The 26,869-nt window shown below is 39.4% G+C and overlaps 1 protein-coding gene across 2 annotated transcripts in view; it reads right to left on the bottom strand.

Annotated features, from left to right (window-relative positions):
• Nucleotides 1-26,869, bottom strand: part of FIG4 (FIG4 phosphoinositide 5-phosphatase) — a 134,131-nt gene that overhangs the window by 41,691 nt on the left and 65,571 nt on the right. For both annotated transcript variants that reach the window (NM_014845.6, XM_011536281.4), the window contains exons 11-16: nucleotides 23,353-23,486; nucleotides 21,529-21,645; nucleotides 19,754-19,799; nucleotides 18,575-18,723; nucleotides 16,841-17,007; nucleotides 6,676-6,814 (exon numbers count right to left, since the gene is read on the bottom strand). In NM_014845.6, the coding sequence (NP_055660.1) occupies nucleotides 6,676-6,814; nucleotides 16,841-17,007; nucleotides 18,575-18,723; nucleotides 19,754-19,799; nucleotides 21,529-21,645; nucleotides 23,353-23,486 (752 nt within the window). The remainder of the gene's footprint in view (nucleotides 1-6,675; nucleotides 6,815-16,840; nucleotides 17,008-18,574; nucleotides 18,724-19,753; nucleotides 19,800-21,528; nucleotides 21,646-23,352; nucleotides 23,487-26,869) is intronic.

The raw sequence follows: 26,869 nt of genomic DNA, 5'->3' as shown, positions 1-26,869 counted from the left end.
CAAAACCAAAGGGGCAGATCCTCCAACCCCTTTTCAATAACAAGGCTTTGAATATGAGAAGAACAGAGCAAGGATAAGGCTGCTGCTTGTGAAGAATTCATTCAGTTATTCCACATTTATTAAGCACCTGCTATGTGTCAGACACTGCTCTATGTGTTGAAAGTGCCAAGCTGAAAGCAATGACAGAGAAAGTAGAGCTACTTAATTCCAGTACTGTTTCTATCCTCCCTAGCCATAACAAGTTTCGCACCTGAAAGAAAAAACACAAGAGGGAACTGTGTACAACCCAGAAGACAGAAGGAGGCGCTAGAGCGTCTCTACAAGAGGCTAGTGTCCCGGTGTAGCTGAGATCTATAATCTTTAAGGAACAGTGAAACATGGAGCTGATACTGGAAATGGGCCAATGCAGTCTTTAATTTTTACATTTAGCAGAATTTATTTATTTATTTACTTTTTTCAACTTTCATTAAGTTCAGGGGTACATGTGCGGAACGTGCAGGTTTGTTACATAGGTAAATGTGTGCCATAGTGGTTTGCTGCACAGATCATCCCATCACCTAGGTATTAAGCCCAGCATCCATTAGCTATTCATACTGATGCTCTCCCTTCCACCCTCACCACTGCAGGCCCTGGTGTGTGTTGTTCTCTCCCATCATGTGTCCATGTGTTCTCATCATTCAGCTCCCACTTTTAAGTGAGAACACGCAGTGTTTAGTTTTCTGTTCCTGCATTAGTTTGCTGAGGATAACAGTAGTCTTGATGCTCAGCAGTGAGAGGGTGACAGATTCCAAAAACCAGACATCAACAAGTGATGTAAGTGATGTTGATCCCAGCAACATAACAGAATCAAATATGAGATCGAGATGTGTTGTAAGTGACCTAAAAAGATAGCCAATGCATTCTCTGAATTCACATCTATTCACAAAAACAAGCCACACCAAGCTAATATCATTTCCTTTCCTAATAGGAAAATCAGACTGTCAGATCAGGGGAATGAAAAAGACATGGACTAATTGTTTAAGAGGGGTGTATGCATGTGTGTATGCATGCATCTGAGTAAATCTAATTCTGTGATGATCTAACACTGGCAGACGAGTAAAGTAGAGAAGTTATCAGTATATGAGAAATTCCCTAAAGAATGTTGCTTACAATCAGCTTGCTTAGGAAGAAGAAGTAGACATTACAAAAAATGTGTTTTAACTCAGAATTCTTGTGGTGAGCAAAAATGAAAAGATAATCATGTATTCATGATTTAAGACCAGGCCATAAACTTTTTAAAAATATTACTAAATTGTATTTCCCTTACAATATGTAGCAATTTAACAACACTTTTAAAAGATTCCAAGTCTTTTGGGTGAGTCTCAGAAGCAAAGAAATATCTGCCTTGGGGAAGATAAGCTAAAATGGATGGAGGATAAGAGCATCTAAGACGACTAAGCCCAAGATAGGGGAATCTTTACCACCTCTACTACCAGGTACATTTATCCAGAGGAAGAACAATGCACTGGGTCAGAAACCTGCTTTGGGACCAGGGATCAGAAAACAGGAGATTGCAAGTTAGTGTCACTCCCTTCTTTGCATACAAAAGAGCTAGTAAGTCAGATTCTCTTTTCTTTTTCAGTTCCTAGTATTATTAAGAGTTCTCGGTTCCATAGGAAGGTTAGGGAAAATTTTTACACTGTCTAATTTTCCTAGCTAACTTGGGAGCCCCCTGAAACATTCATGAATGTCAGCAGAGCAATCAATATTTGTGAACAAGACAGAGAAATATGGGCAGGGCAATAGTGTAGTTAAGTGAAATTACAGCTGTTTAAATGATTACAATCAAAGGCACTAAACAATGTTATGTGGAAGGAGTTGTCTGTGGGTAGAAATCAATGGGTTCTGCCATTTACCCTACTGTACTCAACATTTTTCATCAAGTACTTGAATTAGGATCAAGATGGTCAACTGATTAAATCTGAAGAAACTATAAAGCTAGAAGTATTCATTAAAGGTACACATTTCAATACTTTTTTTGGAAGTAGGCAAAGCATATACGAACATGACAAGAATGGTACAGATGTGGCAGAGTGGCAGCGGCACATGTTAAAAAGACTTAGGAGTTCTAACAGACAGGAAGCTTGGAGAATGCACACTGTGATGGCAATGCTGAGGATGGCTGGTGTGACCTTATGCTTATCAATGAAAACACAGCATCCAGGACAAGGGGAGTGATGGTCCCAGTGGTCTCAGAACAGCTAGCACAAATCAGACCAAATGCTGACCATTATTGGACCCAGATCTGGGGGCCACAGTTTAAGAAGAACATTGACCTCAACTGGAATATACACAGAGGAGAGTGTTGTTCCGAATGCTGGAGGGCCTTGAAACCACAGCATATGAGGAACAGCTGAAGAAACTGGGGCTATTTAACCAGTAGAAGAAGAGATTTTGAAAGTGTATGAACTCAACTTCAAATATTTAAAAGATTATCAAGTGGATGAGGAAATCTTGTTTTTAAGGTCTTTAACTAGGATTAATAGGTAAGATTACAGAGAAGCAGATCTCAGCATGACATGAGGAAGAATTGTGTAAGTGAACTGTTCCAAAACAACTGCCTCTTCAACAGTTGACAAACAAGAACTTGTCAAGCATAGGCCAGATTACCTCTCTCTCTCCCTAGGGAAACAGAAAGGGAACTCACATATCAGACAGGGGGCAGGCCAAGAAATCTCCCAACTCTAGGAGTCAATGAAATAATTAATGCTTAATACCTAAAAACATCTTGGTGACATTCTAAACACCAGTTCATTAGATGGAATCTTAGATGATTGTATGCCATATTAATCAAATTCAGAACAAAGCTTCAATTAGTGGTTTTAGGCAGATCAGTCAATGTGAGATTTTGTGTCATCGAAGTACTTATCTCAAGAGGACCTTGTTCCAATGACTCTAGGTAGAGTTAAGTTTATTCCCTCTTCCCTTATTGTGCAAGAAAAGTATTATTTCATGGCATAGATATGCCACGCCATTATCTATACCATTCCTGTATCATTGATAAACACAGTATAAGATACAGCATGCCACAAATTTCAAAACACTCATGAATAAATAATAAAGTCTTTATTAATATTACATTAATAAGTCACATTATCTAAGTTTCCAGACTTTATGGGCATCCCGTATGATCTTTAATAAATGTTAAAAACTAGGGAATGTTATCTCCTTAAAGAATAGTAACAGGGCAGGTGCAGTGGCTCACACCTGTAATCCCGGCAATTTGGGAGCCAAAATGGGCAGACTGCTTGAGCCCAGGAGTTGGAGGCCAGCCTGGGCAACATGACAAAACCCAGTCTCTACCAAAAATACAAAAATTAGCTGGGTGTGGTGGTGTCCACCTGTGGTCCTAGCTACTTGGAAGGCTAAGGTGAAAAGATGGCTTGAGCCCTGGGAGGCAGAGGCTGCAGTGAGCCGAGATCACGCCACTGCACTCCAGCCTAGGTGACAGAGCCAGACTCTGACTCAAAAACAAAGACAGTAACAATACTAACACCTATTGTATTTGCTAGGTGCTAACCATTTATATGATCTCATCTGATTCTCAGAGAAAGCTGTAAGTTAGGTACTATTATTGTCTCTGTTTTAATGATGTGGAAACAGAATGAGACCAGTTAAGTGACTTGCCCAAGGTCACCCAGGTATTAACTGGAGGCAGGCTTTCCAGAGCCTGGCTACTTCAGTACAGGGTTTATTCTGTGTCAGACCCAGTATTAAGTACTTTCCATATATTTTCCCATTTAAGCCTCAATGACCCTGTGAGGTATGTATAATCATCTCCATTTTATAGGTGAGAAAATGAGGTTGAGAGGTTAATGGGTCGCAGGCCACATACACTTGCAGAAATTCCAACTCAGCTCTACGTGAGCCTGAGCTCTGTGCTCTTGTCCTGTTGCTGCCTCTGGGTAAACTGTTCATTTCTTTTGAGAACTGTAATGCTGCTTTAACTGTCAGCAAAATAACCTGTACAGGTGGGTGACACTAGAAAGTTTTTTTAAAAACCCACTGAAATTTATCTTACAGTATTTATAAAAATTGTTTATGCACAGTATCAATTCCCTCTTCCCCTGACACCAAAAAATAGTTTTCAGAATTTTGACATTCTAGAGGAAAAACAAACAAACAGAAAAAGGAGACCTAAATCAACTGAGTAAGCCATATTATCTACTTAGATACAATTTTATTTTCAGTGGTAGGCTTAGAGCTGATTCTCACTGAATCATCTAACTGAATAATCTTAGCCAAGACATTATCTCTGCACCTCAATTTCCTTTTTTAGAAAATGGGGATGTAATACCAGCTTCCTTTTATTCCCACATATAAACTCTCAAACCACCTGCCTTTGTGATGTAACTCAAGGTGAGCAAGGGGTTTAAATTATGCTTTTAATACATAGCTAATTTCTGCAGTGGAAAATTGAGTTATGGCTGTTCCCAAGCTGTATCTAAATAGCTTCAACACTTTAAAGTAATACAAAATTTCAGAAAATCAACCATATTTACCTATGGTTAACTGTCATCAATAAATATAAATATAGGTATTTATACCCATCTCTCAACAAATAAAGTTTCAAATTTTTTGTCAGCAAAAATTCATGTAAATAATATTTTATTAATAATAAATTTAATGTAAAAATTAGCAGTGCTCCATTTATAGGGACAGTAAGCTCAAGTATTAAGTTGGTTATTCCAATAATATGCATTGATAAGAATAAATTTGAGAAACATACAAATTCTGAGACCTTCCAAATATTTTAAATATTCCTGAAGCAACACAGAACTTAATAACAGCTGCAAGAAGCCGGGCGCGGTGGCTCACGCCTGTAATCCCAGCACTTTGGGAGGCCAAGGCGGGCAGATCACAAGGGCAGGAGATCAAGACCACCCTAGCTAACACAGTGAAACCCCGTCTCTACTAAAAATACAAAAAAATTAGCTGGGCATGGTGGTGGGCACCCATAGTCCCAGCTACTCGGGAGGCCGAGGCAGGAGAATGGCGTGAACCCGGGAGGCAGAGCTTGCAGTGAGCTGAGATCGCGCCACTGCACTCCAGCCTGGGCCACAGAGTGAGGCTCTGTCTCCGAAAAAAACAAACAAACAAACAAAAAAAAACAACTGCAAGAGCTGTACTTGCAACTCTGTCAGTTGTTCATGGTCCCATACACACAATTAGCACAGACTGGCAATGATTCCTGTAGTGTTTGGTAGGTATCCTTTTTTTTTTTTTGAGACAGAGGTTTGCTCTTGTTGCCCAGGTTGGAGTGCCGTGGCACCATCTCGGCTCATGACAACCTCTGCCTCCTGGGCTCAAGCGGTTCTCCTGCCTCAGACTCCCGAGTAGCTGGGATTACAGGCACGTACCACCATGCCCAGCTATTTTTTGTATTTTTTTTTTTTTTAGTAGAGATGGGGTTTCACCATGTTGACCAGGCTGGTCTCGAACTGCTGACCTCAGGTAATCCTCCCGCCTTGGCCTCCCAAAGTGTTGGGATTACAGGCATGAGCCACCACGCCCGGCCTGGTAGGTATCTTTGCGCAAAATTAGGGCTCTATCAAACTGATGCTGTAAGAGAAAAGCACGATGGGAGAACTTGACATTAGAGGCCTTTGAGTGCAATGGACTAGGCTCTAACTTCATGTATGGTATGTAAAAAATTTTGTTCATGTGGCAAAATTGATTATATTATTATAGTACATGACTCCTCAGTTAAAAACACTAAAAAGCCTCCTCATTAAGTCCTCACAATGACTCTGTGAGGTGTGTCCAGGCATTTACATTTTCAGATAAGGAAAATAAGGCTTAGAGAGTTTAAATTACTCGACCCAGGTCACAGAACTGCAGAGATTCCAACTCAACTCTACCTGATCCTGAGGCTCACACCACAGAGCATCACACTAAACTGCTTCAGGTAAACTGTTTGTTTCTTCTGAGAATATTATATTACCAATTTAACTGTACTCAAAATAACCTGTACTGGCAAGTGACTCAAGCATGTGAGTGGTGGGGACATGAAAGTGGTTATCTGACGCTAGCTAGTAGCACTGCTCTAGCTTCCCGTCTTCCCAGTGTCACTGAGACTGGTTGTTTCCTGGAGGAGAGAATATTGGAATTACAAGGTACATGCTGCTTAGCTGTCACACTTGAAAAATCTAAGACTGACTCTCTGCATCTTAGAGTCCTTGAGAGTTTCAAGTTTGTAGGAAACACTCAAAGATGATACTGTTGGTTTGCTTTAGTGGAGCTACAACTTCTGTTTAACAAGGAAGTTCTGAAACTTCATATCTTAGAGAAAATACAAAACAACAATTGCTAGCCACATTTTCCCCAACCTACTATCAGGACATCAATAGTACGGAACTCATGGCAAGCATGTGGCCAGACTGACTGCTTTATGCATCAGAGGATGGATACCCCATTCTCCATGATGTACTTCCTTCCCATTGCATGCCTGTATCAAAACACTTCATGTACCCCATAAAAATATACACCTACTACGTACCCACAAAAAATTTTAAAAATTTTAAAAAATAAAATAAAACTGACTATTTTAGCCTATGATTTCTCAAAATGAAAAGTATCTCATATTCAAAATAACACCAAATGGGAGTTTATATTACAGACTAGGAAGAAAAATACCTTCTTCTTGTTGGCAAAAGTCTCATGGTATTTTTGTGATGCAAATAAAAATCTGTTGGGAGCTCCCAGAGATGAGGTTTCCCTTCAGTGGGATGGAAAACTCCCAGGAAGAGATTAATGGAATCTTGTCTATCGGCATCTAAAAAGCAAAATATATATTTCAGAAAATCCATTACTGATGGATATATAACTCAAGAGAATATTTTCTTAGGAGGATAGTGGTACAAAAGTAGTATTTATAGTTCAAATACATACAAATACAAATACTTCATACACACACACATAAGTTACCAAGATTTGGAGCAGAATTAAAATCTTGCTTCAAAATGTTTCCTCTTTGTTCCATACCTCTCATAAAATATACAGATGATAGCGAACATAAACTGCTTGTTGAATTTGGAGACACTTAAACATCTTTAAGAACTCAGATAGTAAATACCTTAGATAGCAATTTTATTTTTAAAATGAAAATATATCCTCACCATTTGTTATTTTACCTGAAGTAAATGTATCTTCACTTTATTGCAAAGACAAGCAGAGACTTCAGAGACAAATAAAATGACCCAATTTCTATCCATATTCTGTTGCACAACCTTGAACAAGTCAGTTGCATTGTCTCCACTTTTAATCCTTGAAAAGATACTCTCCCTTTCTTTAACAGAGACAATGTTTACAACACATTTTGTCCCTGTCAGCTGTGAGCCTGGCCCATTCTCTTTTGTGGTTGAAAATGAAGGCAAAGAAGGCACATGGTAACAGCCTCATTCTAACTATTCAAGCATTCCAAAATTACCTTTTAAACTATACTATGAAGTAACAAAACTGACTCTGTGTATGTTTTACTTCCTCTTCCTTTTCCTAATTATCTTTTGGTAACAATGATAATATGCACTGAAGTGGTCTCATGAACCACCCATCCCATTCTACATTCTCCTCCCTAGTGTCCTTCGTTCTTTCTCCTCGTTTCCTTCTTTCCATTCTTGTCTCAGAGCCCTGTATATTGAAGTTTGTGGCAGACATCCACAATATAAATAATAACCTCTTTCCAAAAATGAGCATAGAACTAAAAAGATAGCACAGTAGAAATGACTGCATTTGGAACAAGGTAACATTATTATAAAATCAATTTTCTTCCAACAGTTATAGCGAACAAGATATACCTGAAATTAGCAACACTGTTCTCATTGGGTTATTTGGTCATTACAGCAAAACTAAATGAATGAAATACGAAATACGGTACATCAAACATGTATTTCAGATATTAGACAGGAAGCATCCCATTAAAACAGCACTTACCTTTCGGGCTAAAAGTAATATATAAAAAGGGACATGTTTATATGCTGAGCACATTTGGGGACTTTCTTTGCACTTGTTGAGAGAAAACATCAAGCATTAAATAATGCATACATTACTGCCCCAATTTGTACCCTCTTTACATAATACAAAAGTAAACATGATGCTCTTATGGCAATTACATTCTTTCTGCTTCTTAAATAGCCTTAATAGCACTTAATAGTTCATTCTACGTAGTACCTCAAAATATCTTAATATAATCTAGAGAAGCTTTGCACTTTTCAGCCACATTTTCTAGGAGTTTCTTTCATCCTTTAACAGCAGTTACCTTTAATTTTTAGCAAGTATGGTAAAATGTAAGATGTGAGAAACATAGCCAAAAAAAGAATATTCTTTCAAAGGATCATAAAGAAGCCTTTTTGGAAGTACTGCTGCTGCAACTGAAAATACATGTATGATGTTTACGGTCACTTACTAAGCTTGAGATATAAGGCCAGCCCTAATGAGCCCAAGGATCTTCTCCTGGCTACTTCTGACTGCAAATAAAACAATCACCTCCAGGAAGATGGTGGTACTCTGGATATGAACAAGGGTTTAAAACTGGTAGGCTCTCTGTGGTTGTGGATAACAAGAGGGCGAAATGATTAGCCACTTTTATGTTTAATTGTGCTTGAAGGGAAGAAAGAATATGCACCAAATACCATTCAAACAGGTTAAACATTAGCCAATTTTACTACTGACTACATTTAAATAGATCAGGTTTAAATATAACAATTCTTTTTAATTAGAGAAAAAAATTCATTTTTGAACTGAAATAGCTCTTATTCTAATATTAAGTTTATGATACAGTGTCCTCTGAAATCAGCAATGAAAGGAAGTATTATTCAATAAACAGTACAATAGTATTGGGGTGGGGGTGGAAGGGACAATGATGTTAGACCCCTACCTCACATCAGACATTGAAATAAATACCAACTAAATGTAGGAAAGACACAGATTAACCCCTAATAGAAAAACAGGTACACACAATTTTCAAAAGAAACAGAAACAGCCAATGGATATATAAAAATCCAACTTCGCTAGTTATCAAATACTGCAAATTAGAACAACATACCATTTTCTGTCTGTTAAGTTGGCAAATACATTTCAAAATAGGCACTCCCATACTCTGCCAAGGGGAACATTAACTGTTTACATCCTTTCTGAAAGGCAATTTGGCAAATATATATCTATATAATATATATAGATAGATATTTTAAGCCCTAAAAATTATTTTTACCCTCTGACCTAATAAATTTGCTTCTGAACTTTTCATAAGATCAAAATATGCAAAAAGGTATATGTTCAAAGATGTTTGTTTAGAACAACTCTAAATGCACAAAGCAAATAACTAAATTATGATGCTTCTCAAAGATAGAGTACCATAGGGCTACTAAAAATCATGTTATAGAAGAATATTTAAGGTTATAAAGATTCATTACATTATCTAAAAGAGCAAAAGCATATTATAAATTACAGGTATAGTAAAACCAGAAGGATCATGTTCCCCTAAATATACAAGTGGCTATCTCTGGAAGGTGGGGATCATATGATTTATTTGTGAGCCATTCTGTACTTTGTATAATTAACATATATACTTTAGTAGTTGAAAAAAATGGCCAGGCATGGAGGCTCATGCCTGTAATCCCAGCACTTTGGGAGGCCTAGGCAGGCAGATCGCTTGAGCTCACAAGATTGAGACCAGCCTGGGGAACACAGGGAGATTCTGTCTCTACAAAAATAATAAAAAATATGAGCTGGGCATGGTGGCACACGCCTATAGTCCCAGCTACTTGGAAGGCTGGAAAGAGGGAGGATCACTTGAGCCCAGGAGTTAGGAACCAGCCTGGGCAACATAGGGAGACCCTATCTCTACAGAAAAAATAAATAAATAAATAAATAAAAATTAGACGAGTGTGGTCCCAGCTACTCAGGAGGCTGAGGTGGGAAAATCACTTGAGTCTGGGAAGTCAAGGCTGCAGTAAGCTGTGATAGCACCACTGCACTCCAATCTGGGTGGCAGGGTAAGACTTCACTCAAACAAACAAACAACAAGAATAGCAAACCCCTGCAGCCATCCAGATAACAGTGGATGGCCGTGGCTGTGTGGACTAGCGTGTCAGAAGTAGGGATGAAACACAGAAGATATTATTTTGGAGGTATAACCAACAAGATTTGTTGACAGATGGGATTGGGGAACAGTGATGAGGAAAAGAAATAATGCAGGGAGAATTCCTAGGTTTTCTGAATTGATCAATGGGTATTGAAGTAGAAAAAACAAGTAGAGAAACGGACTTGAGACAGAGTCAAGAGTTTCTGTCTCAGAAATGGTAAGTTTGTGATTTTGTTAGATTTCTGTGGTAGGAAGAAATTTGGCCCCCAAGACCTTTGCTCCCTAGTATCATACCATGAATATTTTCTACTACATGGTAAAAAGGACTTTGCAGATGTAATTAAGGTTACTCATCATCAACTGCAAGATAGAAAAATCCTAAATCATCTGGTTGGGTCCACTGTAATCACATTAATCCTTTAGAGGCTGAAGAGGAAGGCAGGAGGGGAAGGCAGAGAGATTTGAAGCACAAGATGTATTTGGTGCACTGTGGTAGGCTTTAAAATAGAGCAGGCCACAAGCCAAGAAATGCAGCAGCCTCTAGGAACTGACAGTGGCCCCCAGCCAACTGCCAGCAAGGACATGGGACATCAGTCCAATAGCTGCATGGAATTCTGCCAACAATGAGAATGAGCCAGGAAGCCTCCAGGTAAAAGCCCAGGTCAGCTGACATTTTGACTTCATTTTAACGTCATGTGACATCATTTTTACTCTAGTCTTGTGAGAACCTAAGCAGAGAATACAGCTCAGTAATGCTGTGTCCATAGACTTCTGATCCTCAGAAACTCTAAGATAATGGGTATTGTTTTAAACCACTGAGTTTGTAGTAATTTGTCATGGCAATGATAAAAAACTAATTCAATGGCCAGGCATGGTGGCTCACACCTGTAATCCTAACACTTTGGGAGGCTGAGGCGGGCAGATCACCTGAGGTCGGGAGTTCAAGACCAGCCTGACCAACATGGAGAAACCCTGTCTCTACTAAAAATAAAAATCAGCCAGGTGGTGGCACATGCTTGTAATGCCAGCTACTCGGAAGGCTGAGGCAGGGGAGTCTCTTGAACCCAGGAAGCAGAGGTTGTGGTGAGCCGAGATTGCGCCATTGCACTCCAGTCTGGGCAACGAGAGCAAAACTCCATCTCAAAAAACAAAAAACAAAAAAACTAATTCAATATCCCAGCAGAGATGCTAGGTAGACATTTAGATAAATGAGTCTGGAGTTCATGAGAAGTTAAAGTTAGAGCTAAAAATCTGAGTGTCAAATGCATGGTAGTCAAAAGCTGAATGTGATATCCCTAGGACAAAACTGGAAAAAGAGAAAGGTTTAGAAACACAGCAGGGGAAGTCAATAGGAGACTGAGACTCTCTCCTATTGACAGAGATCTCAATATCCCACTGAGAGATCTCACAAAGTGAAGTTTAAGAAAGAGGAAGTGGTCAACTGTGATGAAAGTTGTTGAAAGGTTGAGTAAGATGGAGTCAGAAGAGTAAACATTAGATTTGGCAATGTGGGAATTGTTGGTAACCTGGACAAGTACAGTTTCGGTGTCATGGCAGGGCAGTTGCCAAGTGGAGCAGGTAGAGAGAACACAGTGGAGACAACCCTTTCAAGAGGTTTTGCTCATGAGAGCAGAAAAATAGGACTGTGGCTGGAGGGGCATGTGGGATTAGGAATAGCTGGAAAGGGTGGATGGAAAATGCTAAGGTATGCTTTTATGTTAATGGCAATGATGCATTAGAGACAGAGAAACTGATGATGTACAGCAACAAGCATATAGTTAGGGAACACAAGAAGGCATGGGATTCAAAGAAAAAGGCAAGGTTTCACTTAAGATGGAGCAGGGCCACCACAAGCATTGTAATACAATATAGGGTAGAAACTATGGGTGCAGAAAAGGACGCCCTCTGCATTTGATGGGAGAATTAGAGGAAGTCCTGGCTAACATGGTGAAACCCCGTCTCTACTAAAAATACAAAAAATTAGCCGGGCGCGGTGGCAGGCACCTGTAGTCCCAGCTACTCGGGAGGCTGAGGCAGGGGAATGGCATGAACCCAGGAGGCGGAGCTTGCAGTGAGCCGAGATAGTGCCACTGCACTCCAGCCTGGGCCACAGAGCGAGACTCTGTCTCAAAAAAAAAAAAAAAAAAAAAAAAAGAATTAGAGGAAGTTCCCTTTCAATAACTTATTTTCTCACTGAAGCACGAAGCAAGGTCATCAGATGAGACTGAGGTGTTGTAGTTTTAAGGAGAGAGGACAAGTTATGAAATAGTCATTTTGGAGAGGGGAAGAATGAACTTACTATGGAAATGTCACAGGACAGTCCGTTGTCCTTTGGAGAACTGTAGTCTGTTTAAGAGTAATAAATTACAAACTTTTCTCTTGCCATGTACAACTGCTTTGGTTGCAGAAGAGGTGAAGAGTTGGGCTTTAACAAAAGTTACCAAGGGTATTAAAACAAACGTTATTAAAACAAAACATTTTTCCAACTGTTTTATTTCTGCTATTGCCAAATACAGCTTATTCACTCACAATCTGCTGTTTGAAGGATAACCTCAGAAGGCTATCTCACTATTCTTGATAAATTAAAATGTTCTCAGCATGTTCCCTTTGATGTCCCTCTTTCAGCAGTGAGCAGAAAGGGGAAGAAACTGCTGGCAGTCCTTTAGAGTACTATCATAATGCCAGGTGAAGCCACCTCAGCACCATCTTCTGGGATCACTGTCTTCCACACGTGATAAGCTTTGAAACCCTGACCCTGTGATATCGTTTGGATATTTGTCTCTGCCGAACTCTGGTGTTGAAATGTAATCCACAATTTTGGAGATGGAGTCTGGCGGAAGGTGTTTGGGTTGATGCACTCCTTGCGATAGTGAGTTCTCAAGAGATCTGGTTGTTTAAAAGTGTGTGGCACCTCCTTCCCCTCACCCCTTGCCATGTGAGACACCTGCTCCCCCTTCTTCTGCCAGGATTAAAAGTTCCCTGAGGCCCCACCTAGAAACTGAGAAGATAATGGCACGATGTTTCCTGTACAACCTGCAAAATCATGGGCCAATTCAACCTCTCTTCTTTATGAAATTACTCAGTCTCAGGTATTTCTTTATAGCAACGCAAAAACAACCTAACACACCTTGGGAGCTTTTCTCTTTAGATCCCTGTTGAGAACATGATTCCCCTCCATGCATGCATACACACATTCACTACATTCAAATTATGCACACGCATGTGGGTGTACATATTTATGTTAGGCATATATATACACACACACACACGTATATACAGCAGATCTATTATTAACTGCTGTAGGTTTCTTATCTTTTTTTTATAATAGGATTTAAATTCAACAAGCTCCAGCAAGAAAATCCAGGCTTAAAAATTTGCATTTAAAAAAAAATAGAAAGAGCTTAGCAAGGCCCTTAAGGGAATTAAAAGCTCTCCCTAACATCTGAAGAGATACCTATGCTTTCCCTGTAAAGCATCCTCCAACTCCCTATGTAACTAGTTATATTAAAAACTAAAAGGTGCTTCCTAGACCAACATGCATGCTAGCATGTGAAGCCTCAAGAACAGTTTTTAAAATGAATAGAAAAAAGGGTCAGGTGAGTTGACCCCATAGCATCAGTCCATCCACATAAACCAAGGGTAAAATTCCTAACAACCTAATTTCACTATTCTGGTTGCTTTTGTTTGCTTGTTTTTTGAGAGACAGTCTCACTCTGTCACCCAGGCTAGAGTACAATGGAATGATCATAGTTCACTGCAGCCTCGAACTCCTGGGCTCAGGGGATCCTGTGCCCTTAGGCTCTCACATAGCTGGGACTACAGGTGTGCACTACCATGCCTGGTTAATTTTTGTATTTGTTGTAGAGATGGGATCTCACTATGTTGCCCAGGCTGGTCTCAAACTCCTGGGCCAAGCAGCCCTCCTGTCTTGGTCTCCCAAAGTGCAGGATTACAAGTGTGAGCCACTGTGCCCAGCGCTTTTTTTTTTTTTTAATCTAGTTTATCAGTATGTTCCTGCCTAGCCCAGAGGCATAACATGAAAAGATTGATTAAGTTTTGCAAAGTTGTCTTGAGTGGTTTAAAGAAAATTCTTCTATATTGCCACCATTATATAATACCCATTGTAATTTAAAAATAAGTTGTACACCCCAATGATATCATGCTTCTTAAAATAAAGAAGCCTGTTTTAGCCACATTATTCATAAAATCATTCCTTTCACGGTAGTTCCTCTTTCAGTTGTGCATAATTTTGCCTTACCTTTCCATTTGTGCACATCATTTTCTCAGAATATCTTTATCTTTTATATTACTCCTTTCTTTTTTAAACATGGACAGCTACACAGTCATTCTGTCCGTCCTCTAGTCTTATTAAAAAGCACATTACACTCCGGAGGCTGAGGCAGGAGAATCGCTTGAACCCGGGAGGCGGAGTTTGCAGTGAGCCGAGTTTGAGCCACTGCACTCCAGCCTGTAGACAGAGCGAGACTCCCTCTCAAAAAAAAAAAAAAGCACATTACTTGATCCTTAAGTGTCAATAATGACCCCTATTACAGGGACAACGACCACAGGAGAGGGCAAAAGAACAGATGCCCTTTTTCATGGTGATATACACCCTGAGGGATATGTACGTATTAGCACATGACAGAAGTAGCCGATGAGGATTCTCCTCTCTGGGTTTTCAGAGGGAGCATGGCCCTGTCAACACTTAGATTTCAGACTCCTAGCCTCCCGAACTGCAAGAAAATACATTTCTATTGTTTTGAGCCACCGGTTTGTGCTGTTTTGATACAGCAGCCCTAGGAAATGGATGTGGATTTCCCCCGTGTTTGTGGGCAGGGGCACCTATGATTTGCTCCTGACCAAAGAAATATGGCAAAGATGACGGGATGTCACTCCCATTATTACATTACATTTGTAAGACTCAGTCTTGCCAGCACACTCATCCTATTGTCAGCTGTGAAGAAGCACGCTGCTATGAGTCCTACAGCCACAAGGAACTGAATTCTGCCAGCACGTGGGCTGGGAAGTGGTTCTTTCTCAATGGCAGCCTTGAGAGACCCTAAGCAGGGGACCCAGTTAAGTTGTGCATAAATTTCTGATGCACAGAAATTGTGAGATAATGCATGTGTACTGTTTTAAGCTGCTACATTTACAGTCATTTGTTACACAGCGCAGAAAACTAATACAGTTGGACAGGAGCATAACAGACCAGCTTTGCAAACTCTCTGGGCCTAGAAAATGTGGACAGCTGACTCTGATGGATGCTTTCCCAGATGCTTCTGAAGCTGCCAGCACTGGGGACTCTCTTACAATTCCCTTTTATCAGGCAGTTTCTTATAATTCCTTCCTTGGCTCCTTAGGTATCCAGTGTTTACCTCCTGGATCTTGCTGCTAAGGTCTCTCTGTCCTTCCAGGGGCCTTACTGGCCAGGACCCAGGCCAACCCCATGCTGGCACCCTCCTCCACGAGGCCCACATCCGGTTACCAGTCAACACTCAAGTATCCTTTGGCCCACCCAACTGGAGGAATGCAGACAATTCCCAATGTGGCACACTCTCCTCAGCCCATCCCTCTGCTTCAGATCTGCTGTGCAACAGTCCAAGGCCTACATGCTGCGTCTCTTCAACAGCAGGATACCATGTCAAGCTCACCCAGAGTCCTGTTGAAGCCCACTCTCTTTTCACTGAGGGTGGGTGTTATTGCAGGCAATAGTTCACTCCTAAGGACCTTTTTTTTTTCTTTCCGAGATGGAGTCTTGCTCTGTCGCCCAGGCTGGAGTGCAGTGGCGCGATCTCGGCTCGCTGCAAGCTCTGCCTCCGGAGTTCACACCATTCTCCAGCCTCAGCCTCCCGCGTAGCTGGGACTACAGGCCCCCATCACCACGCCTGGCTAATTTTTGTAATTTTTTTAGTAGAGACGGGGTTTCACCATGTTAGCCAGGACGGTCTTGATCTCCTGACCTCGTGATCCGCCCACCTCGGCCTCCCAAAGTGCTGGGATTACAGGCATGAGCCACCACGCCCAGCCCCAAGGACCTCTTTACTAATCTTCTCCATATTATGTAAACTTTTCTATCCTTAATCTGGTACAAGAGCTGAAGACTCATGAAATCAATCACTGAGCACTTCCTTCATAAATTCTGTGCATGGGGGTTTGTCTCACAATCACTTTGGTCTGTGATACCTATTGTATTGGCAATTCCATCAGAATGGAGGCAGGAAAAGCACCATTTCAACACCCTGTTACATGTAGTATTCACAAGTCATAAAACAGTAGAATTTAATGAGTATAATTTAGTGCTAATATCACAATTTGTTTCTAGTTGACATTTTAAAAATTCAGTGATATTTACATTCTTAGACAATTGTCGAGACTTTGAACCCTATTTAAAAAAATGACTCAACACCCTCAAAAAATTTTATCTATATACTGCAAGCAGAAAAATAGAAAGAGACAGAAGCCAAGGAATTAAAGTGTGTTGCATTATATAAAAACTCTAATTATGGGTGCCAAAATGCAAAAGTGTCCTATTTAAAATACAAATGTTTATTCATTCATTTATTGGACAAATATTTACTGAGCACCTTCTAAGTGACAGACTGTTTTATTTAAACTTTTAAAATATTAAATTTTAATTTCACTTAGCCAGATAGCTTTAAAAGACATACAAAAAATGCACTTCAGAGTAAGTCTTAAAAATAGCTATTACTTCAGAATTACCTGAAAAAGCATTGCTGTAATATCTAGACAGGGTTTGCATGATGTCTTTGGAGTGCTGGGTCCATGGTGCTATCTTTCTGTAGGTTTTCACACGATGAACAAGTTGAGAACCACCATACTGAAGGGATAGGGTATCACCATGATCTTCATAGAGTTCCTCAAATAACCTAAAAAAAGAAAAACCCGATTAAAGAATTTCACCAAAATCAAAGCACAAGTTATTCACTTAGCCAAACTCCAAACAAGTCTTATACTTTAAAAATTCTTCTGAGCCTTTCAAGTTAGATTCTTCAATATCTTGCAAATAAATGCAAACGCTAATATATTTTAGAGTGATATTCCAGTAAACACCAAAGCCATAGAAAACACTAAAATGGAAGCAGGGGCACCAAAAACATGGCCCACCAAAGCCAGACCAGGTTGTTTCTAACCACACTTAAAGACTCCTAACTTTCTGCAGCCTGCCAGAGCAATTCACTTCCCATAACGGAATGTACTGTGCTCTCTGAATTGCCTCTGAAAAAAGAATATGCTCCTGTCACGGTGTCAGTCCATTCGAGCTGCTGCAACAAGACACCATAAACTGGGTGGCTTATAAACAGCAAACATTTCTCACATTTCTGGAGGCTGGGAAGTACAAGATCAAGGAGCTGGTAGATGTAGTGTCTGGTGAGGGCCCATTTCCTAGATCACAGATGGTCTTCTCACTGTGTCCTCACATGATGGAAGGGGCTAGCTAGCTCTCTTCAGTCTTTTATAATAAGGACACTAATCCCAGTCATGACGGTTCCTCTCAGCTCTACTCATTTTCCAAAGGTCCCACCTCCTAATACCAACCATTTGGGGGTTAGGGTTTCAACGTATGAACTTAGGGAAGACACAAACATTCAGATCACAGCAGACTAAGAAACCATATTCTTTCTTAGATATGTACTTTTGAAACCTGTGTTTCTTCAAGTGTCTGTTAATATTTCCAGTGCAGTGATATCTGTTGGTGTGGCCATTTGTAAACTGATTACTTTCCTCAGCTGAGCCTTTATGACAATTTCCGATGACCAGTATCAGCTATCATTAATTGTATTTTCAAAAAAATAATACTTCATGGACTGTCATAGATCCAATAGACAGTGAAGAAATAGTAATCCTTAATGAAAAATCAATCTTTTATACATCTTAGATTTTTAGTATGTATGAAGACACAGTACTCTTTTTTAAAATGCCATCTGGATTTGTTTTAAAACAATGCCCACTAGTTTGTCTAAGTACTTTGGATTTATCTAAAGAATGTGGTGTTTATTCATAATTAACACAAGCAAAAACAACAACAACAACAGAAGAAAAACCCAAAGCCCAAACCATGGCAAGAATACACAAATTTTTAATAGAAATATTTATTCTAAGACACCAAGAACATCCACTGGGGAAAGGACACCCTCTTCAACAAATGGGTGCTGGGAAAATTGGATATTCATATGCTGAAGAATGAAACTGAACCCGTCTCTTAACGTATACAAAAACCAACTCAAGACAGATTAAAGACTTAAACATAAGACCAAAAACTATAAAACTACTAGAAGAAAATATAAGAAAAACAGAACGAGTTTGAATAATGTTTTCTAGCAACATAATTTTTGAGAAGCTAAAAGTAGAAACGCTTTCATAAAAAAATCTTATTAGTAACCAGGTTTGCCTTCTGCCATTATCAGCATTCAAATAGCAAAAAATAAGACTTACCTAACTGCATCTGTATCAAACTGTAGATTAGGTTTGTCAATCAGTCCCAGTGAATACAGCTGATAGGCCAGAGCACATTTTCCCACCATAAACTGTGCTGTGTTGGTGCGATCTAAACAGTCCACACAGTTGGTTCGAAGGATGCCAGTCTAAAGAGAAATACCTTAAGATTTTCAATCATTATTCCATCACCAAAGAACTTCCATACTACTTTAGATTTCTTTAAGAAACAAAAACAAAAACAAAAACAAAAACAAAAACAAAAAAAGTCTGTGGGCAGGTATTATTCCTGAACAAATATTATTCAGTTTTATGTAAAGTCAAAATAATAAAGAACATGTTTAAAGTTGCATAAGGTTATACATTGCTGTAACAGCACCGTTAAATCTTCTGGTCTATATTTGAATTTACTTTGTTAGTTTAACAAAATAAAACAAATAGCTGACAATTTGCTAATTTACCAGTTAGCAAAATATGGGCTTTTTTCTGACCTATCTCCTTATTATACAGTGTAAATATTCAGTGGTTAGGGCCATATCATTCTTAAAGCATAGTTAACATATATAGTATATACACTTGGCGTCTTTTCCAAAGTCACTCTAACTTATTCTTTTCATGTTCTTGTTTGTGTTTCTATTTCCAGTAATAACATTTAATATATAGAAAAATTCCATAGGACATATTATTTCAGCTACACATTTTTCTTTTTTTTTTTTTTCTTTCTGAGACAGAGTCTTGCTCTGTCACCCAGGCTGGAGTGCAGTGGCATGATCTCGCCTCACTGCAACCTCCGCCTCCCAGATTCAAGCGATTCTCCTGCCTCAGACTCCCAAGTAGCTGGGACTAGAGGTGCATGCCACCAAGCCCGGATAATTTTTTGTATTTTTAGTAGAGACAGGGTTTCACCATGTTAGCCAGGATGGTCTCGATCTCCTGATCTCATGATCTGCCCACTCCGGCCTCCCAAAGTGTTGGGATTACAAGCATGAGCCACCGCGCCCAGCCAGCTACACATTTTTCATAAGCATTAAAGACTAGAAGTAAGGCTTTTAACAATCATTCTCAAATAATAATTCTGCATTAAATAAGATACAGGTCTTTCCATGATTGCTTACAGAAAACATACAGTACACAATGGATACAGATTCTATTCATTACGAATTGTAATACTGTGTATACCTGCAGGCGACCAGTGGGAATCACACATCCTCCTAGTTCATTCCACCTGTGTTTAAAAATAAACACTTTTAAAAAACTTAATGGCAGAATACATATTTATTTTCAGTACCAGATCCTTGTTAAGAATCATAGAATTAAAGTAATAGAGCTGAAGGCTCCTGAAAAATCAGCTGATCCTGCCTACTCTCATTCTTTCAGGTAAGTGAACATGCAAATGACTGAGGCAGACTGCTTACCACACTCTCCTCAAAGACAGTCCAGGAAAGGGGCATTTTAATTTGCCTGAGTGTCCACTCTGGCATTTTGTTACCCATGCTCAACCAAAATCTCCCTTGCTTTCATTCAAACCCAATTCCTGTTTGGTCTCTATACACATGAATAATAATTGTAGGGCATCTTTCTAATAAAATCTTCCAAGCCTTAGCCTTCCCAACTCAACATTAGGATTCTCTACCTCCCCCAGCTTTTATTCATAGAGGCTTTGTTATATTTCTTTGGTTGGTTTTGTAGATTTCCTTTTAGAGACTACTTATTTTCTCCATGTGCAATGAATACATAGGAATATGTTTTGTTATGAAATACTATAGATGATGTTAATATTTTAATTATTTAAAAGAAGGTGCTGTGCAGAAAAGAGTTAACCTAACAGGCCTAACTGCTATCCTTAGAAAGTCCTGCTTATAAGGTTGGCCCTTGGCCAATGTCTGGCAACTTAAATTTCAGGAGGGTTTCCACCATTCCCAGAACTGATAAGAGTGACTAACTGTGCTGAAATGGTTTGTAGAAATAATATGGTTTTTCCTGAATACCTTCTTTCCCTCTGGAAGTCAAGAATTTTGGTATATGTCAGGCAGAGGCTGCCTATGTGACCAGCCTCCAGTAAAAAAACAGAGTCTCCAACATGCTTCCTTGGCTGGCAACATTTCACCCATGCTTCACAATCTGTTTCTTGGGGAATTAAGTGTGTTCTATGCAACTCCACTGAGGAGAAGACTCTGGAAGCTTGTGCCTGGTTTCCTCTGGACTTTGCCCCTTTTGCCTTTTCCCTTTGTTAATGTCACTTTATATCCTTTCACCATAATAAATTATAGCCAGAATACAATAGGCGGAGTCCTTTCAGTTCTCCTAGTGAATCACTGAAATCTGGGACTAGTCTTGGGGGACCCCTGTCATGGGTACCCTAAAATTCAAATAAACAAGTGCAAACAATGCAAACTATAACAAAGGGATTACTTCCAAAGACATATACACTAGTAGTTAGTTCTTTTTTATTGTCTTATGATTGTAGTTAACTACATTAACTGAAAATAAAATGCCATAAATACATAGTATTGGTTTCTTAAAAGATAAAGCATAAATCCTTGATCTGAAGAAGCTCCCAAAATAGTAATAAAAGATTTGTGAGCGAATAACTATAATACAATACTATTTTTATAAAAATGTTAGTATGTAATCTATAAGAAAAAAATGTCTGTTTCTATTCAATACTGAAAAATAGTTCACTGTTGAAAATTTTACTTACAGAAATATTTTATGTAACATTTGTTCTATGAAGCAAGAGATGCAGATCCCATGGCTTACATCTCAAGGTATGTAGGTAACCACCAAAGGAATTCCCATGCCCCAGTGAACATTCAGCACTCAGTCATGTGAGCAGTGTGCCTCCCCCCAGGACTAAATTCATCCAATTTCCAAGTAGTACAAACTGCTGTATTTAGAATACCCATAAGAGCAAAAATCATCATTTATTATAAGTTTTAAAATACCATACATACTTTTCATCTGGCCGCAAAATGCTACAGTAAGAATCAGGGCGGTTTACAAAGAAACCTGTTTTCTTCACCACACTTTCTGCAATCACATTTAGTCGATCAAGAACATTACACAGCTTGCTGAGGAGAGAAGGAAGAATGAGAAAAGTGAGAAGCCAAGTTTTAATATATATTTATCCTTATATCTAAAGCCAGTAAAGTCTATAGCAATGATACTTAAAGATGTAATTTTTAAAATCTCTTGGCTGGTACTTGATAGAAACATGTAACAATGTCTAGAATATAATGTGTACTCAGTAACCAGCAACATTTGATGTGAAAGAGACACAAAAGACCTGCAACTTAATATCAAATATTGGTGATCCTTAATCTTGGCATATAACATCCCTGCCTGAGCTTTCTCCAAAGCCTTTCACTCCTCAAGAGTTGTCAAGTCAATATACATTCATAAAACGGCTGTGAAAAGAGCACCACGCACAGTGCAGGTGGCAGAGCAGAAAAAACTGCAAAATAATATGAATGGCAGCTGGGTGCAGTGGCTCACGCCTGTAATCCCAGCACTTTGGGAGGCCAATGCGGGCGGATCACTTAAGGTCAGGAGTTCGAGACCAGACTGGCCAACATGGTGAAACCCCATCTCCACTAAAAATATAAAAAATTAGCCGGGCGTGGTGGAGGGTGCCTGTAGTCCCAGCTACTTGGATGGCTAAGGCAGGAGAATGGCGTGAACCCGGGAGGTGGAGTTTGCAGTGAGCCGAGATTGCGCCACTGCACTCCAGCCTGGGCAACAGAGTGAGGCTCCATCTCAAAAAACAAAAACAGAAACAAAAACAACAACAACAACAACAAAAAATTAGCCAGGCACGGTGGTGCATGACTGCAGTCCCAGCTACTCAGGAGGCTGAGACAGGAGAATCGCTTGAACCCGGGCGGCAGAGTCTGCAATAAGCTGAGATCGTACCACTGCACTCAAGCCTGGGCAACAGAGCAAGACTATGTTTGAAAAATGATAATTAAAAAAATAATATGAATGGCAATAACTTGTAAACAAACTTATACTCTGAGAAAGTGTGTGTGTATCTAACTGTATAAAATGACTCAGAAAAAAGTACAATAAGTACAAAACGATATAGTAACATCTTAAAAAATAAGACCTTAAGTAAACCTACAGCTTGTATGATTCTGTAGTAAGTGAACAAAAAGACAATGCAAGATTTAACAAAAGTAAGTTCCTTAGAAGAGATGAGTTTTGAATCAGATCTTGAAAGACAAAAGAGAGGTGGGAAAGCATCCCAGGGAGGGTGAAGAAGAGGAATGGAGGCTTAGGATGGGACTTTGGCTGCCACATTTGTGGCAGAGCATGAAAATTCAGTTTTCTGGAAGAGAACAGCCCTTGGGATAAATAAAAAGTGGTCACATTCTGAAGCCAACCAGATGACGAGCCTTTGACATTACACTAAGGAGTTTGGATCTACTATATACAGTCAGGAATTATCACAGGTTCATCCACGAGTGACATCTGAGAAAGTGTTTAAATAGTGAGACAGAATGATATAGAAAAAAGCAAAACTAATGCCTTTAAGGAACAGTTGTAGAGATGTTCTGAAATGACTAAATATTTCAAACAATTTGCAAATGGTATATATGATAGGCAAAAAGAAAAAAAAATGTTTGGTTAGTTTCTTGATGCACTCAAAACAGCCCCTCAACAGGTTCATGAAGGAAATTAACAGGGTAACATTTACTTTACCACAGAGGTCAGCTTCCTGTTATTTCTCATCACAAGAAAAGGAAACGATCATAGCCAGACAGATGAGTATCATTCACCTTTTGGTATACTTGGCCATGTCCCAGGGAATATAAACAATAGTGTGCTCAGGAGGCAAAAATTGGTTGAGATAGGTCACAGCAGCAACAAGTTCTTCACTCAGAATTCTTTCATGCTTTCTTTTCTCTCGTTCCTTTATCAAAAATTAAACATTTTCAGTGTTCTAATTTCCTTAAATCAGAGGAACAGGCTCAACATGTTTACTTTTAAGCTAAGCTAAGACAAAAAAATCCAAGTCTTAAATATACTAAAATGAAACCTAGCTACAATAATCAGAAATAATAAAAACACAAAGAAATAAATGCTCCATTGTATTAAAGTGAACAGCTAATGAACTTTGAAGATTCTAGGAGATCAGGTTTCTTCCTGGTACTCTCCCTGCACCCTGAGAAACCCAGCTTACCCAACGTGGGCCATGGCCCACACACTCCACACCTGACTCTGACAGAGGAGATCCCTCCCAAGGACCAGAAGAAGGGAGCCCCCAACTTTAACCAGCTGGAGGCCAGAAAGAAATCAACTAGTCTGGATGAACAATTCCCAAACTAGCACAGCAGAAAGCAGCTTCTCAGCCTTCACAGGACTTCATAAATTAGACTTGCAAATACTCTGTGAGATAACCAAAACAGGCATTTCTTTTTCTTTTTACACTGTGGTTGAATGAATTGAGGTGGAGAGGCATTCATGGAACTAAACCTTGCCTTCTGCCTCCTTGCCTGGGGCATCTCTTTAGTTAGACACTGCACTGCCTCTCATTCAAGAGAAGCTAGTACTTTACTGTACAGTTCTGTGGTTGGAATGGTGACTCTGCCACTCACTAGCCATGTGACCTTGGGCAATGTTCTCAATTTCCCTAGGCCTCCATTTTTTCATCTATAAAATAGGGTAAAAACAGTATCTTCCTTACAACATCAATGTGAGACTTAAATGAGACAGAGCATGGTGAGTTTTTTTTCTTTTTTTTTCTTAATACTTTAAGTTATGGGATACATGTGCAGAACGTGCAAGTTTGTTACATAGGTATACACATGCCATGGTGGTTTCCTGCATCCATCAGCCCAATATCTACATTAGGTAGTTCCATCACTCTCAACGACATGAACTCATCCTTTTTTATGGCTGCATAGTATTCCATGGTATATATGTACCACATTTTCTTTATCCAGTCCATCATTGATGGGCCGTTGGGTTGGTTTCAAGTCTTTGCTATTGTGAATAGTGCTGCAATAAACATGTGTGCATGTGTCTTTATAGTAGCATGATTTATAATCCTTTGAGTATATACCCAGTAATGGGATTGCTGGGTCAAATGGCATTTCTGGTTCTAGATCCTTGAGGAATCACCACACTGTCTTCCACAATGGTTGAACTAATTTACACTCCCAACAGTGTAAAAGCGTTCCTACTTCTCCAAGTCCTCTCCAGCATCTGTTGTTTCCTGACTTAAATAATCGCCATTCTAACTGGCGTGAGATGGTATCTCATTGTGGTTTTGATTTGCATTTTTCTAATGACCAGTGATGATGAGCCTTTTTTCATATGTTTGTTGGCCACATATAAATGTGTCCTTTTGAGAAGTGTCTGTTCATATCCTTCGCCTACTTTTTGATGGGGTATTTTCTTGTAAGTTTGTTTAAGTTCCTTGTAGATTCTGGATAGTAGCCCTTTGTGAGATGGAGAGATTGCAACAATTTTCTCCCATTCTGTAGGCTGCCTGTTCACTCTGATGATAGTTTCTTTTACTGTGCAGAAGCTCTTTAGTTTAATCAGATCCTATTTGTCAATTTTGGCTTTTGTTGCCATTGCTTTTGGTGTTTTAGTCATGAAGTCTTTGCCTATGCCTATGTCCTGAATAGTATTGCCTAGGTTTTCTTCTAGGGCTTTTTTGGTTTTAGGTCTTACATTTAAGTGTTTAATCCATCTGGAGTTAATTTTTATATAAGGTGCAAGGAAAGGATCCAGTTTCTGTTTTCTGCATATGGCTAGCCAGTTTTCCCAGCACCATTTATTAAATAAGGAATCCTCTCCCCATTACTTGCTTTTGTCAAGTTTGTCAAAGATCAGATGGTTGTAGATGTGTGGTGTCATTTCTGAGGCCTCTGTTCTGTTCCATTGGTCTATGTATGTGTTTTGGTACCAGTACCATGCTGTTTTGGTTACTGTAGCCTTGTAGTATAGTCTGAAGTCAGGTAGCATGATGCCTACAGCTTTGTTCTTTTTGCTTAGGATTGTCTTGGCTATACGGGCTCTTTTTTGGTTCCATATGAAATTTAAAGTTTTTTCTAATTCTGTGAAGAAAGTCAATGGTAGCTTGATGGGGATAGCACTGAATCTATAAATTACTTTGGGCAGTATGGCCATTTTCACAATATTGATTCTTCCTATCAATGAGCATGGAATGTTTTTCCATCTGTTTGTGCCCTCTCTTATTTCACTGGGCAGTGGTTTGTAGTTCTCCTTGAAGAGGTCCTTCATATCCCTTTTAAGTTGTATTTTTAAGTTATTTTATTCTCTTTGTAGCAATTCTGAATGGGAGTTCATTCATGATTTGACTCTCTGTCTATTATTGGTGTATAGGAATGCTTGTGATTTTTGCACATTGATTTTGTATCCTGAGACTTTGCTGAAGTTGCTTATCAGCTTAAGGAGTTTTTGGGCTGAGATGATGGGGTTTTCTAAATATACAATCATGTCCTCTGCAAACAGAGATAATTTGACTTCCTCTCTTCCTATCTGAATACCCCTTATTTCTTTCTCTTGCCTGATTGTTCTGGCCAGAACTTCCCATACCATGTTGAAGAGGAGTGGTGAGAGAGGGCATCCTTGTCTTGTGTTGATTTTCAAAGGGAATGCTTCCAGCTTTTGCCCATTCAGTATGATATTGGCTGTGGGTTTGTTACAAATAGCTCTTATTATTTTGAGATATGTTCCATCAATACCTAGTTGAGAGTTTTTAGCATGAATGGGTGTTCAATTTTATTGCAGGCCTTTTCTGCATCTGCTGAGATAATCATGTAGTTTTTGTCATTGGTTCTGGTTATGTGATGGATTACGTTTATTGATTCGCATATGTTGAACCAGCCTTGCATCCCAAGGATGAAGCTGACTTGATCATAGTGGAAGAGCAAATAAATTCAAAAGCTAGCAGAAAACAAGAAATAACTAAGATCAGAGCAGAACTGAAGGAGATACAGACATGAAAAACTCTTCAAAAAATCAATGAATCCAGGAGCTGTTTGTTTGAAAAGACTAACAAAATAGACTGTTAGCCAGACTAATAAAGAAAAAAAGAGAGGGGGAGGAGCCAAGATGGCCGAATAGGAACAGCTCCGGTCTACAGCTCCCAGCGTGAGCGACGCAGAAGACGGGTGATTTCTGCATTTCCATCTGAGGAATGCAGTTCCTCACCAGCAATGGAACAAAGCTGGACGGAGAATGACTTTGACGAGTTGAGAAAGGAAAGCTTCAGACGATCAAATTACTCCAAGCTATAGGAGGAAATTCAAACCAAACACA

This window comes from Homo sapiens, chromosome 6 (genome assembly GCF_000001405.40).
Source record: "Homo sapiens chromosome 6, GRCh38.p14 Primary Assembly".
In the NCBI taxonomy this organism is placed as follows: Eukaryota; Metazoa; Chordata; class Mammalia; order Primates; family Hominidae; genus Homo; species Homo sapiens.
The sequence above is the reverse complement of the archived record's forward strand: the minus strand, read 5'-3'. Positions and strand labels throughout refer to the sequence as shown.